Source organism: Homo sapiens, chromosome 2 (assembly GCF_000001405.40).
Source record: "Homo sapiens chromosome 2, GRCh38.p14 Primary Assembly".
Lineage (NCBI taxonomy): Eukaryota > Metazoa > Chordata > Mammalia > Primates > Hominidae > Homo > Homo sapiens.
In genome coordinates this window covers 46,137,078-46,151,442 of record NC_000002.12, presented here as the reverse complement: position 1 = coordinate 46,151,442, position 14,365 = coordinate 46,137,078, and the positions used below count along the sequence as shown (strand labels likewise).

The 14,365-nt window shown below is 44.8% G+C and overlaps 1 protein-coding gene across 18 annotated transcripts in view, besides 1 other annotated feature; it reads right to left on the bottom strand.

Annotated features, from left to right (window-relative positions):
* Window positions 1–14,365, bottom strand: part of PRKCE (protein kinase C epsilon) — a 536,712-nt gene that overhangs the window by 36,548 nt on the left and 485,799 nt on the right. For all 18 annotated transcript variants that reach the window (XM_005264428.2, XM_011532980.4, NM_005400.3 and 15 more), the window contains 2 exons: window positions 6,212–6,350; window positions 214–402 (listed from right to left, as the gene is read on the bottom strand). In XM_005264428.2, the coding sequence (XP_005264485.1) occupies window positions 214–402; window positions 6,212–6,350 (328 nt within the window). The remainder of the gene's footprint in view (window positions 1–213; window positions 403–6,211; window positions 6,351–14,365) is intronic.
* Window positions 7,022–7,521: an enhancer, noted in NCBI's record as "H3K4me1 hESC enhancer chr2:46371061-46371560 (GRCh37/hg19 assembly coordinates)". NCBI's record gives its function as "activates a minimal SCP1, AML or CMV promoter by ChIP-STARR-seq in naive H9 embryonic stem cells {active_cell/tissue: H9 hESC(naive)}" and the evidence as "EXISTENCE:reporter gene assay evidence [ECO:0000049][PMID:30033119]".

Sequence of the window (14,365 nt, the reverse complement as noted above, 5' to 3'; positions counted from 1 at the left end):
GCAGCAGTCCTCTGCACTGTGCCTGAACTCCCAGTGGCAACTGCCCTTAATCCTTCCCATTCCGTGGTGATGAGCAGAGGTGGGAGGGAGAAAGCTGGACAGAGAAAGGGAGAAGGGAGTGTGTGTGTGTGTGTGTGTGTGTGTGTGTGTGTGTGTGTGTGTAGGGGGAGGAGCCCAGGAGAGCACAGCCATGGGTGAGGGGCAGTGACTCACAGCTTTCAAGATGCTGACAGCCTCCTTGCTGAGCCAGACTGGGTACAGCACGTCGTCATGGAGGATGGACTCAAATAGGTCGTCCTCATTGTCGGCCTCAAAGGGAGGCTGTCCAGCCATCATCTCGTACATCAGCACCCCCAGGGCCCACCAGTCCACGGAGGGGCCATACTCCAACTCCTGCAGGATCTGTTCAGGAAACCAGCAATGTCAGGCACCATCAAAGGCTCCCACCCCAGTGACACCCGTGCTACGAACGCCCATGGGAAGGACTTCAATTCCAACTTGCTCCTCCCTACAGTTGAGTCCTAGTCCTAGAAGTTCTAAATCAGCAAATTCAGTGACAGTTGAGTTTGGAGGCACTATGCTGGGGGCCAGCTATCATCTTTCCAAAGTCAACATCGACAGTCTGTCTTCCAGTGGGAACAAATTCCTATTTCTTTGAGCACCAGATAAAGTTCCTGACTGGCATGAGGGCCACATTTTAAAAAACTGCATATTTTGACACTAAAATCAGGGTCAGGGGAGCACGATGCATACTGAGAGAACAAGCTGTAAGTGACTCAGAGTGCAGCGAGGTCAGGTCTCCCATCTCACACAGTCCAGGGCACAGCTCACTGCCTGAGTGGAAAGGTGAGCAGAGGTCTTCTTTAAATGGTGCAACACTCAATTTACCTGAGCCCTGTGCTCCTGGAGAGGAAACTGCAATGAATAAGTCTCCCCCACCCTGTAATGGTCTCCCTATAAAGGACCACTATACTCTTGCATATTCTAAGAAAAAACCCATCTCTATTGTTCATCATGATTCCCATAAGATCCACTGAAGAATCCCCCACTTTGCCTGCCTCTACAAAACCGTAGGCCCCCTTCCTTTGGGGCCACCTTCACTAATGAACCCCCTATTGCAATAGCCAGAATCGAACCATCTCCTTGATTGTCTGGTGCATTTTGTCTTTGACAATGGTCACTTGTCTTATCTATGCTGTCTCTCTTTTTCCTCTAGCCAAATATGTAGAGTCAAATTCACTTAGATTAAATGCATGTATGACATGATGCTACTGAATACAAGACATCTTTTCTGGCTGGGCGCAATGGCTCACACCTGTAATCCTAGCACTTTGGGAGGCTGAGGTGGGAGGATCACTTGAGTCCAGGACTTCGAGACCAGCCTGGGCAACATGGTAAGACCCTGTCTCTTAAAAAAAATTAGCTGGGCATGGTGGTACGTGTCTGTAGTCTCACCTTCTCAGAAGGCTGAGGTGGAAAAATCACTTGAGCCCGGGAGTTTGAGGCTGTAGTGAGTCATAATCATGCGACTGCACTTCAACCTGGGTAACAGAGTGAGACCCTATCTCAAAAAAAAAAAAAAGGATCTTTTCTGATTGGCTATTCTATTTGATCTGCTCTCCATACACATATGTCATAAATACATGATACACACACACGCACATATAAATATGTAGCATGTCAATGACATATATATATAAATACATATATATAAATACATATATATAAAAATACATATATATATATATGGAGATGACATCCAATAGAAAAGACTAGAATTTAATATCACCTTTCAGCTGTATAGAGCTTTGTATTTTACAGTATGCCTTTAAAATATAACATATATAAATAAAATAAATATGTAGCAGATCAATGATGTGTTTGGCTCAGAGGAAAAATAAATGCTGAGCTGTCCACTCTACAAGGAAGAGATCATGAGGTGACATTCCCATTCCACAATTATTTTCTCTTCTTATTAGAGTGGGATTAGGCATGGCTCTGCCCAGAAACAGGAGGGTGGATGAGATGACCTATCCAGGTCCATAATTCTATAAAGAATTTTAAAAAGGGAAGGAGAAACAAGGTTGGAGTGCATATCCTGCAAGGGGGAACACTTTGAGGACCCTGAAAAAAAAAGGCAAAGTTCATGCCTAGTCATTCCAGCCCATGGGACACCTTGGGCAGATAATATCTCAGGCTGGGGACAAGGCTCCAATTTAGTTCTCAGATTTCATGGTGGCCAGGGAAGAGGAGGCTGAATTCAAGTATCTGGACTTTCTGTGGTCTGCTCAAAATACCCTTCTAGAGGTTACAAATTGCTTAGGATGAACTAGAAAGATTTGGATAGAAGAAGCATTTAGAAACAGTTAAAACACTCACAGTTTAGAATCTTCTGAATTTGGAATGAAAAGGAATTTGAGAAAATGCAGCCAACTCTACATTACTTGGGGCTGGTAATCTGTTTAGCTAATACCTTTGGTCTAAGCCCAGTGGTTAGTGTTCCTTGAGCTGTAAGGTCAAAGCTATGGGCTCCACTGTCCTGAGGAGCCAGTGATTCTGCTATGCTCCAAAGCCAATGCCAACTCCTCCCTCAACCTCAAAAGACACAGCGCCCAACTTAAGACCCCTGCCTGTTCCTACGAGTTGCAGGCACTTTCTCACTTTCCACATACCACTACGTCGTTAGTTATTTTTTCATGGCCAGCGGTCTCCCCAGTGCAACTATAAGGTACCAGAGGGTAGGAGCTGTAACATGCTACTGAGCCCAGTGCTGTGGCCAGCCTGTTCTATCATCCAGGAGACAGTCAACATCTTGTGACTGGCTAGCATGCATGGCCACTGTGTGTATCTACTGGGCATGCTCCCTTCTCTTCTAGCCTCAGGGCACACTGGGTGCTACAGTGGCTGCCCTCCAGCTTCTCGGAAGGAGGCAGCTGGGTTCTGTGCCTTCAGGGGGTGGGGAGAAGGTGGCTTGTGTGTGCTGAGACTGGATGGTGCTGTGGAAACCACAGAGCCGCCCTGCCACCCCACTCCAGGCCCCTTCCACAGCCTTCTCATTTTGGGTGGCATCTTTTGTAAGATTCCTTTTAGGCTTGGCTCTAATTATCTGCTTCCTAATTAACTGTCGGCAGTGGATCTGGGCAGAAGGGCAAGGCTTCCATGTCACGGGAAGTCACCTGGAGCCAACCCCTCAAGTGCGTCAGAGCTCGGGAGAAGGGAGAAGGGAGAAGGCATTGGCCCTGATGATGCTATTACCAAAGGCTGGTGGCCACTTCCTGGGAAGCAGGGGCTGGGAGTGGGAAAGCAGAGGGGGTGCCATGGGGCATATCATGTGGCAGGAAGATAAGCCTTGGGGCAGACCTCATGCCTCCAAAGCTGTCTCTGGTTTTGAGGTTAGCTCAGCACCTTACCACCTCTCCCATTTGAATGGAGGCTTCTGCTTTCTCAAGCATTTCCATGCTCTAATCTCATTAGATTCTCAAAGCAGCTTGATGAGGTAGGTAGGGAAGGAGTTATGGCTCCCATGTGAAAGATGAGAAACCTGAGACTCAAAAACATTTTGTGACTTCATCAAGTCATCAAATGCTCATGTGTACATTTGTGGTCAAATCTGGACTCAAGACTCAATTCTCAGGATTGCGTTTCCTATCCCATCACACAACCCAACAATGATGATAACCATGAAGCCACCATTTAGCCAGCACTCCCTGTGGGCTGGGCACTGGGCTAATGCTTTAGAGGCATAATCTCATTTAATCTTCCCAGTAGCCCTCGATGAAGGCAGCAATACCTTTATCAGCTGTAATTTGCCTACAGCAAGACCAGGGATTGTCATTGCCAGTGCAGAGATGTTTCTGCACGGTGGGCACGAAGGCCAGAGCAGGAAGGAAGAGTGTCTGTGCTTCATTGTGAACAGAGATCAGAGTTGTTCATTGTGAGTCTCACCAATGGACTGCTTTTCATGAAAGCTGAGTGGCTATTTTGTTCATTATAAAGTGAATGTTCTGTCTTGGGTTGGGTCCTTAACTATAACATGGGCTGTCAACTGTTAGGCTCTGGCATCAACTTACAGAGGAACTGGAACTGAGTATTCTGACAATGAAGAATGAATGATGGCATCAACTTAGAGAGGAACTGGAACTAAGTATTCTGACAATGAAGAATGAACGAAGAACACGAGAAAAGCAGTTCCCTGTCGAAAGCTCTTGCTTTCATTTGTTGCTCCTTGAAGGCTGAATTCCTAGTGTTCTTGCTAAGGAAATACATTTGCAGAAAGACTGAAATCCCTACTCTTTAGATCTCTTAGAAGATAAAGGTTCTAAAGGGAAACTACCTATTACTCATCACCTTCACTTCGAGATGTTCCTCAGGCCTCCCCTGTCTTGTGTGGTCTGTGAAGCCTCCTGACCATCAGTCCCTCACTCCCTGCCTTCTGATCTGCACAGCTGTGGCCTTCCTTCTTCCTGGGATGGATCTGACTAGGACTCTCCTCCACTGAAACCCTGAGTGGGTCCACAGATCCTACAGGATCAAAGCCACATTCACTGGGTCTTTATCCCAATCTCATTCATTACTATGAGCACCAGGAAACCCTATGATCTAGCTACACTTTTTAACTGTCCTGGAAAAGACCAAGATGTTTTTGTCCCTTGGCCTTTGCTCATGTTGGAATGTCATAAGTTGTCATTTTTTAACAAACCTTTCTAAGATCCTGATTTGTGTGCCGGATCCTGGCAGTACCCAGATTAGAAACACAGACCCTGCCCTCAAAGGATCCAGGGCCCAGGGACACTGAACCTCCTTTCCTGTCCTGCCCCCGTTCCAATCCTGTTGTTTTCAGGAATACCCTCCCCACCCCTTCCGTCAAAGGAAATCCTCATTCTTTACAACTCAATTCATCCACCAGGTGCTCCAAGAAGCCTTTCCTGATCCCTGAGGATACCATCTTCTTTTATGTGCCTATTTATTCTGCTTAATTAGTTGTTTACTTATCTATCACTCCCTTTAGACCAAAAGCTTCTTTAGAATAGGGACAAGTGTCTCAGTCAGTTCTTTATCTCCACATTGCTTTGTGCCTAGCACGTGCTCAAACAATGCCCACTGAAAGAAATGAGCTCTGAATGTGCTAATACCTATCCGCCATGGGCGATGTTTAGTGGGGATTGGTACTTCTTTCCTATCTTACATGTCTCAGAACCATGAAGATCATTTTGATTGTCTATGACAGGCCATGTCTTAAATCTGAATCACATCACACTAGTTATCTCTCAGTTTGGGCAGGAATAAGGCAAACAAACACTTCATGCTGAGCAAAACATCCCAAACAACTTTCAGGAAAGGCAACCTATTGGAGTGGTTCACAGTGAACATCTCTGATATCTGTATATAATGAGGCACAGTCACTCTCCTCTTCCTGCTCCATCCTGTGTACTCACAGCATAGAACTGCCACTATGCAGGAAATAGCAAACAGTTCCTAGTTTTACTGTTAGCAAATTGTAGCTGATAAAGTGAAGTGCTCCCATGATCAATGATGCTCCTTTATTCTGATTTTATTTTTTACTTTTTTTTTTATTGAGACAGGGTCTTGCTCTGTCACCCAGGCTGGAGTGCAATGGTGCAATTATGGCTCACTATAGCCTCAACCTTCTGGGCTCAATTGATCCTTTCACCTCAGCCTCCCAAGTAGCTGGGACTACAGGTTTGCACCACTATGCCTGGCTAATTTTTGTATTTTTTATATAGACAGGGTTTCACCATGTTGCCCCGGCTGGTCTTGAACTCCTGGGCTCAAGCGATCTACCTGCCTTGGCCTCCCAAAGTGCTGGGATTACAGATGTGAGTCACTGTGCCCACCCTGTTCTGATTTTAAAGACATGAAAACAATAATAAAAGTCAACACGTTTTTCTTGGTCCTAGATTTATTGGTGGTTCTGGACTAGGATGGGAAAGAGATGTTCAGTGTGAACTTGCCCGGGTTTGGGAAATAGCCTGTTACTCTCATTTCACTCATCATCTCCCCAACACTAGGACTTCTTGACAGACATCAATCAGCAAACTTTTTTCCTTTCCTTTTCTCCCTCCTTCCTAGAATCCATCCTGGATTTCCAGAGCCTTCCCCCAGCACCACTAGATGACCCCAGTGCATGGGTTTGGACCCCTGCCTCGGTCCTGGCACCAGGAGGAGGTGAACCTTTGCACACAGGTCTTACCTCAGGAGCTATGTAGTCAGGAGTCCCACAGAACGTGGTGGTCGTCACACCATTCAGAATCCCTTCCTTGCACATCCCGAAGTCAGCCAGCTTGCAGTGACCTTCTGCATCCAGAAGGATGTTGTCCAGTTTCAAATCCCTGCAAGATAGGCCAGGACCATAATGTCAATACGTCACTCACCCCAATATAGTCTTCCTGAGTTGGAGGTATGTGCCTATCTTAGGGAAATCTCCAGCAAAAAAGTCCTGAAAGAAGCTTGTGTTTCTTGAAACCCATCTCAGTCCAGGGGCTCTCTCTCATGTTAGTCAGCCCCTAACGGCACCTCCACTTTCTTCAGCAAGAGGGAGGAACTTCTGTAACCCCAGGAATATATCAAGACTGCTGTGGTTTAATAGAGCTAAGTCAGTAGGTATATATAGAAGCCCTGCTATGCACCCACATTCATATTAATGAGATCCTGCTATGAAAGAAAGAAGCATCTACCCCTGTCCCTCATGAACTAACCATGGGGATCAGCTGGGGTTCCCAGCATGACACATAGGGACATCAACGAAACGGTTAAAACCACCTAAGAGTCAGGCACTACTTTATAGAACACTATGAGAGCTAATGTGCATCAGAGCGGGAGACCACAAACAGCTAGTGCAGGCAGTGAGGGCTTCCAGGAAACAGCGCCCCTCAAGAGAAACATGGTTAGAAGATAAGGGTTCGATACACTGTGAGGAGAGAAGATGGGAGAGAGGAGAAGGCCAATATAGCTGATGCAAAAGGTAGTGAGGAGGCCAGAGAATTGGGCCCTAGTGAATGGTGAAGCAAGACAGGAATGTTTTGCTCAAAGAGCCTGGAATGCTAGGAAAAAGAATTTGAAATGCATGCTAACAGCAATAAGCATCCTGCCTGCATGAGCACAATGCATTTGTAAGATCACTTTCCTAGGGGCAAGCAGGCTGGGTGGGGGAAAGGTCTGGAGGCAGCAAGGAAGGCACATTGCTTATAATCACCTGGACCCACAGAGCCCACGTGGTTCTGTGCAGCAAGCAAGAGCCATAGGGGCATGCCAGTCTCAAACAGTGCAGCTCCCTTGGGGCCTGTTTTACACTTTGGGGTTCTGGGTAAAAATTCCTTGCCACCATGCCTGGAACCCACAGCCCTGACACGGTAGAAGAACCCAGACTGGGTGGTGGTATCCACCTTGGGCTCCCCGCAACAGCCATGCTGGGATGCAGGGTGAAGGGTCTTGCAAAGAAGGCCCATTTGTCTGCACACAGAAAGCAGGAGGGGTCTGCTGGCGTCAAGATGTGAACTCCGGCCATCGCCAGGGATCCAGGCCTGAGTGCAAAGGTGGGGCAGGAAGCACTTTAGGACCAGCCTGCATTGTAGCCACGACCCCGTTTCCACTTACAGCTGGGACTTCTTGAGAAAAAAGAGCATATAAAATATGCTGCTGTAAGCAAATGCTCATGAACTACAGAAAGAACAGTGAGCCCAACCAAGCTGAGCCCCTGGGACCAGGGTTCTCCCACCCCCACCCTGGCCACTGTGTGTGGTCAAGGCCCAGCTCTGGCTGTGGGTGATGGAGCAGTGAGACAAACACTGGGCCAGGACCCAGGGCCTGAGTTTGTAGCACTGGTTGTAGCCTTGTCCTGGTAAAGTCACCTTGCTGGTCTGTGACCTTATCTGGTGAATCAGAATGACACGCTCCTGCTTGTAGGCTTATTTGAAGGACTAATGAGATGTGCGTGAAAGTAGAAGGTCTTTAACATTGTCACACTCACTTTCTTCATGAAGGAACCAAGTTCAAGGGAACTGGGTGAACTATCTGCCCACTTGCAAATGTCTGAGTCCTTGAGAAGCTGACAGCTGGGGCCCCACTGAGTCACATGCCCCTCTATCCCTATTTTGTAGTATCCAGTGCTGCCAACCCCCATGACACACACGATCAGCACAATGGTGATACTAATTGGAAAAGGAACAACAATGATGCTTCTTTATGTGTGGGAAGCACCTCCCAGTTCATGATCCACGCTCAGCACTGTGAATTCCATTAAACAGTTCCATTGCATAGCTCTGTGAGTTAGGAGGAGCACATGTGGCAACTACCCTTACAGAAATACGTCAAAGGAAGCTGGAAGAAGGTAGGTGATTACAGGTGGTGAAGGCTTGGTGGATCTGCTCTGCAAGCCAGTGTGCTTATCCCTGTGTGCTGCGCTCCTCTGCCCTCCTGCCTTCACATTGGTTGACTTCCTCCAATGCCAGCCACCAAGCCCAACTTTATAAAATACCCCAAATGCCACCTCCTAAGCACTCTTTTTAAAGCCTTTGTTATGTCTGAGGAAGGACTTCTTCTAATTTTGTATAAATTGAATGGATTCAGAAGATTCCAAGCCAGCTTGAACCTTGCCCCTTTTCTGACTCAGGCTGCAAGGCTCCGCCTTTTCTTCTGCCCAGGATTGCCTCAGGTGGGGCAAAGAAGGAGGAAGTCCTCACTGCTCCCCAGCTCCTGCTCTTCTTTGCCTGCCCCTGCACTGGCCCCAGATGCTCACCCTCCCTTTGCTTTCTACCCTTTCTTCTCCCCAGGGGAAAGGTGGTCCAGGGTGGCTGCCACAGCCAAGCATGGTCTGCAGGCAGCATGCAGCAGCTGCCCTTGGCTATGACTGGGGGAGGCCCTGACCAAAATGCTTCTTCCTGCTGTCTTGCCACTGAGGCCTGAAGCCCGCCCCTGGTCACTTCCTCCAATTCCCCCTCTGTATTTCCTGAAAACTCTAACTGTCCATATAAAACCAAGTCCAGGAAGAGTTAGGGACTTAAGTTCCTTTCCTTAATGACAGAAAAAGTTAAGAGTGGGTCCAAAGACTTCCGGGAGCCAGAAGGGCGATTGTTAGGACTTTCTATTTCTCTGGGGGTCTTCGGTTCCATTATAAACAAAAGAGCTCACACCTCTGGGACTAAACTTGCCTGGCACTGGGCTCTCAGTGGCAAGCAGTTCACGAGTAGGGTTTCAGTGGATGGGATAGCTCAGGGAAGCCCAGGGCCATGATGGCTCAGGGGTGGGTGTAGGGGCAGGATGCAGTGGAGGTGGAAGGTGGTAGGAAGAGAAAGAGCTAGTCCTTCCCTAAGAGATTCCTTCATGGTTTTCTTACCAGCACTGCTACCCCAGGACCTCTGAATTTCCACTCCTCATTCCTGCCCCAGGAGTCTCCTGCCTGTATGTTTTCAGTGCTGCCTCTTTGCTAGGGACCTGTAGACCTTACTGGGCAGGAGGACTGGGAATAATGGTTTCCCAGCCTTGCCTACTTTGGGGTCCTGCTGGCAGGGCAGAACCGGGCAGGCTGTCTATTCTCCTGAGAGTTCCCATGGTGTTCAGTGTTCAGGACATGGCCAGGCGTGTAGCAAGTGCTCATCAAACTTGCTGGAGACTGACGGCTTTGCAAAGAGGGACAACTGCCCAGATATTAGTCCCTGTGTACTTGGTCCTCAAATACAAGGCCAGGGTACTTTTGAGGAATGGGACATATTTTAAGGAGGGGGGTCTTTTTTTAATAGAGGGGGGAAAATCCAGCAAAATTTCTTTCCCAATATGTGAGCCAATGTGACTAGCCTATACTCATTTATCTATTTAAAGTTTCATTCAATTTTTCTTCAATAGGTAATACTTTCATGTGTTCAAAAAACCAAAAAGTATGAAAGGGCATGCAGTAAAAATTCTCCCTCCTGCATCCATTCCCTAGTCACCCTTTTCTCTCTCTACAGGCGATTTCTTTTTATTCATGCCCTGTGTATTCTCTTGATCATACTTTACATATAAATAAGAAAATATGATTATATGTTCATTTCCCCTCATTTAACTAAATGGGAGCTTACCATACACATTTTTTTAGACTTTATCTTTTTCACTTAAAATATATTGAAGCTCTTTCTGTCTTGGCACTTAAAGAGCCTTCTGATTCTTTATTGTGGCTATATAATAATCCACTGTATTTATTGGGGGACATTTAGGGTGCTTCTAGTATATGCTATTACAAACAGTGCTGCTGTGGATAACCATCTGCATAGGACATTTTGCACATATGTGAGGGTAACTATACACATTTCCTAGAAAAGAAATTTCTGAATCAGGTACTACAAGAATGTGAATTTTGATGGATGTTGCCAAACAGCCCTTCTTGGTGGAAGAACAATTTATACGTCCATCAGCAATATATGACAGTGCCTGCTTCCGATATCTTTCCCAACATGGTATATTATCAAGATTTGGTAGTTTGATAGGTGAAAACAGTATCTCATTATATTATTAAGTTTCTCTGTAAGTTCGAGCATGTTTTCATGTATTCAAAAGAGATCTGTATTTTTTTCCATGAATTGTTGCCCATTTTTCTTTTGTGGTGTTTGTTTTTTATCGATTTTTAGGAGCTCATTCTATATTAGGAAACAAACTTCATGCATGAAAGGGCATACAGGAAGATAAGAATTGCAAATACTTATCCCAGTTTTTTGTTTGACTTTTGGCATTGCTTATGGTGGTTTTGTCATGCCAATATTATTTATTTTTATGTAATTGAACTGATGTTTTATATCATGGGTTTGGATTTTATGTCTTAATTTGAAAGGCTTTACCCATTTCAAAGTTATAAAAGTATTCTCCCAGGGTTTCTCCCAGTACTTTTATGTTTTCATTTGGTAAATGTAAGTCTCTGATATATCTGGGACTTGTTCTGATAAAAGATGTGTGATCCATATCCAACTTCACTTGTTTTCAGAAACTTAGTAAGTTGTCCCAGTCCCTTACGTTGAATAGGTCATCTTTTCCTCACTGATTGAAATACCACCTTTATCAAATACTAGTACTAAATCCTCATGTGCACTTGGATTTTTCCTGTATCTTTTATTCTATAACGTCACTCTATACCACACTCTTTTAATTATTGCAGGTTTATAATGCCTTTTAACACTTGGTAGTACCAGTCTACATATTATTATTTTTCAAAATTTCCTGGCCATTCCTGTTTATTTTTCCATATGAACTTTAGAATCATTTGTCTAGTTAAAAAACAATCCTGGTGATGTCTTTATTGTGAATATGTTTAAAGTTATAAATTAACTTAGGGAGAGTTGATATTTTTATGATGTTGAGTCTTCCCTTCTTATCCAATAATACTTTGTGTCTTTCCATTTTCATGTCATCTGTGTCCCTTAGGAGCATTTTAAAATTCTCTCATATAGATCTTATAAATTTCTTATGACATTTTATGGCAGATTTCTGGTTGTCCCAATATCTATTCTCACTTTCTTCCTTTGTAAGAGAACATTTACTTTCTATTTTTTAAGCCAGGCACATAGCTACGCAGCCATGAACTAGAATTAAAAGCTGCCCTTGGAGCAGGGTGTAGTTATGTGACTAGGTTCTAGGCAATCAGATATGTGGAAGTCTCCTTAAAAGGAAGAGCCTTACTCTTCTTTTTCTTTCCTCCTTCTATATATTCTCTCTCTCTCTCTCTAGATATATATGTATATGTATATATGTATATATATACACACACATATATATACGCATATATATATATATGTTCCTCTATATATTCTGTATATTGCATGAATGAGGACATAATGCCTAAAGTAGTAGCAGCCACCTACAACCATAAAGACAAGGACTAAGTCCTAGGAATGGTAACTGGACCATCAGCCTTCAGATAACTTTCATATGAAAAAGAAAGAAACTTGTATCTTATTTAGAGCACAGTTGTTTTGGGTTTATGTGTTAATTGCAATGGAATCCACTTCAAAATAATCCAGGCTATTATTTTATATTTTAAATTCTTCTGGTAAATGGGGGCTTTCTTCCGTTATATCTTCTATCTGCTCACACATGTATAGGCTAGGTATTGATTTATGTTTATCATTCTGTGCCCTGCCATTATACCGAACCCTCTATTTTTGTAACAGTTTTCCAGTTGATTCTCCTGGATTTTTCAAATTGTCTGCTATTAATGATTAATTTACCTCTTCCTTTTTAGTATTTATACTTCTAATTCATTTCTTGTGTCTGATTGTGTTGACTGCAACCTCAAGAACAATGCTAAGTAATAATGGTGATAGCATCTTTGGTGGTCCCTGATTTTAGGAGGGCCACTCCTAGCATTTCCCCCTCAGCCTGAATGCCTTTGCGATAGCCCTTGTTGCCTGACACCTGGATAGATGGCTACTTTACTCTCCACTCGACTGAAGACTTACGAGAACTTCCATGGAACCCCACTTCCTCCCCCAGTGCCAAGAGCCAACTGGGATGTGGGCTATAGGAAGGTGATAAGAACCAGGCTCTTCAGCTTCCCTTGAGTCCAGTGTGTCTTAACCTTGGCATGCTGGGACGAGATTGACATTTGGGACTGGATAATCCTGTGTTGTGGGGGGCTGTGCTGTGTACTACAGGATGTTTACTAGCACCCTGGTCTCTACGCATTAGATGCTATGAGATGTTATGCATTAGATGCATTAGGTGCTATTAGTATGCCCCCTCTCCAGCTGTGACAACCAACTGTGTCTCCAGACATTGCTAAGTGTCCCTTGCAGGCCCTCTGGTTGACGACCACTGCTCTAATCTGAGTCTTAAGCAGTGATCAGGGCTCTAACACGGCCTGGCCCGGATCACTAAGCCAGACAGAGATTTGGAAAGCACATCCTGGCTATAAGGAAAGGGTGCATTCGCCTGGTACATCCTCTGCCATTTTATTCCTAGGAGATGGGAATCCTGACTCTACCAACCCTGCTAATTGGCATCCTCAACCCACATGTTTAAATGTATGAGGAAACTGAGGCTCAGAAAAGGTAACTTGTCTGAGGTCACATGGCTGGTAAGAGGCAGCGTGGGCTGACCCTACATAACTGCCCGTGACCACCTATTAGATAAAATGACAGACGTATGAGTTGGAAATCTCTATTTGATGCTTGGACTAAAATTCCTCTGGGCTGGGAAAAGAAATCTTTGTGGTGAGGAGAACATGGAGCACAAGGGATCACAGACTCTACCAGGGCAGACCCACTTCAAGGCAGGATGGCACAATGAAGGCTCTCCTGCGGTAGGAGTGAAGATCTCTTCCAGAAAATCACAACATGACAAGAAAGGAAATTCCCTAAACAATGTACTTTTAAAATATTCTATAAAACCTATCTGAGCAGGAAAGAAATAAGTCCTAGCAGTAATAGTCTCAGGGGAAAAACAAAAAGTTTGACTTCTAAGACTAACTATACTAACTAATTTATTAGGGTAGGAAAATGGAAAAGCATCAGTGAGTACAAACAGATCCCTAATGTGATTTTGCTGCAAGGTGGGGAAGAAATGGTCTAAGACTGAGGGAGAACTGGTATGCAAAGAAGATGTCGTATCAAGATATATGCTGGTATGCTGGAGATGGGATGAGACCAGTGGTAGGTCAAATTCTACTTCTAACTTGACAAGAAACTGACTTTTTTTTTTTTTTTGAGACAGGGTCTCACTCTGTTGTCCAGACTAGAGTGCAGTGGCACTATCTCGGTGCACCCTCTGCCTCCCAGGATCAAGCGATTCTCCTGCCTCAGCCTCCTGAGTTGCTGGGATTACAGGCATGCACCACTACTGTCCAGATCTTTTTTTTTTTTTTTTTGTAATTTTAGTAGAGACAGGGTTTCACCATGTTGGTCAGGCTGGTCTCGAACTCCTGACCTCAAATGATCCACCCGCCTTGGCCTCCCGAAGTGCTAGGATTACAGGCATGAGCCACCGTGCCCAGCAAACAAACTGACTGTTCATGTCTCTAGCAATGTGTCTAGAATAATTTGAAACACATATTTTGGCTTCTAAGAATTGCCTCCCAGGTTTGGCTATGCATGTATCTAATTCTGTGTATAGTAATTTATGTATAAGAAGTTGTTTGTGCCTACATGTGATCTGAGATGTTGGGTGGGTCCCCATATTTTCTCTTCCCGATGTCAGACAAGAAGTGAGGCAGTTCTGAATCTATATCCCAACTCTGCCACTTACCAGCTGGATAAGGTTGGGCTGGTCCAACATATCTTTAAGACTCAGTTTTCTTATCTGTTAACTGGGGATAGGATTGCCAGGATGGAATGATGTAACCTCTGCGAAAGTGCTAGCACAGTGCCTGATCCATGATATCCCAGAA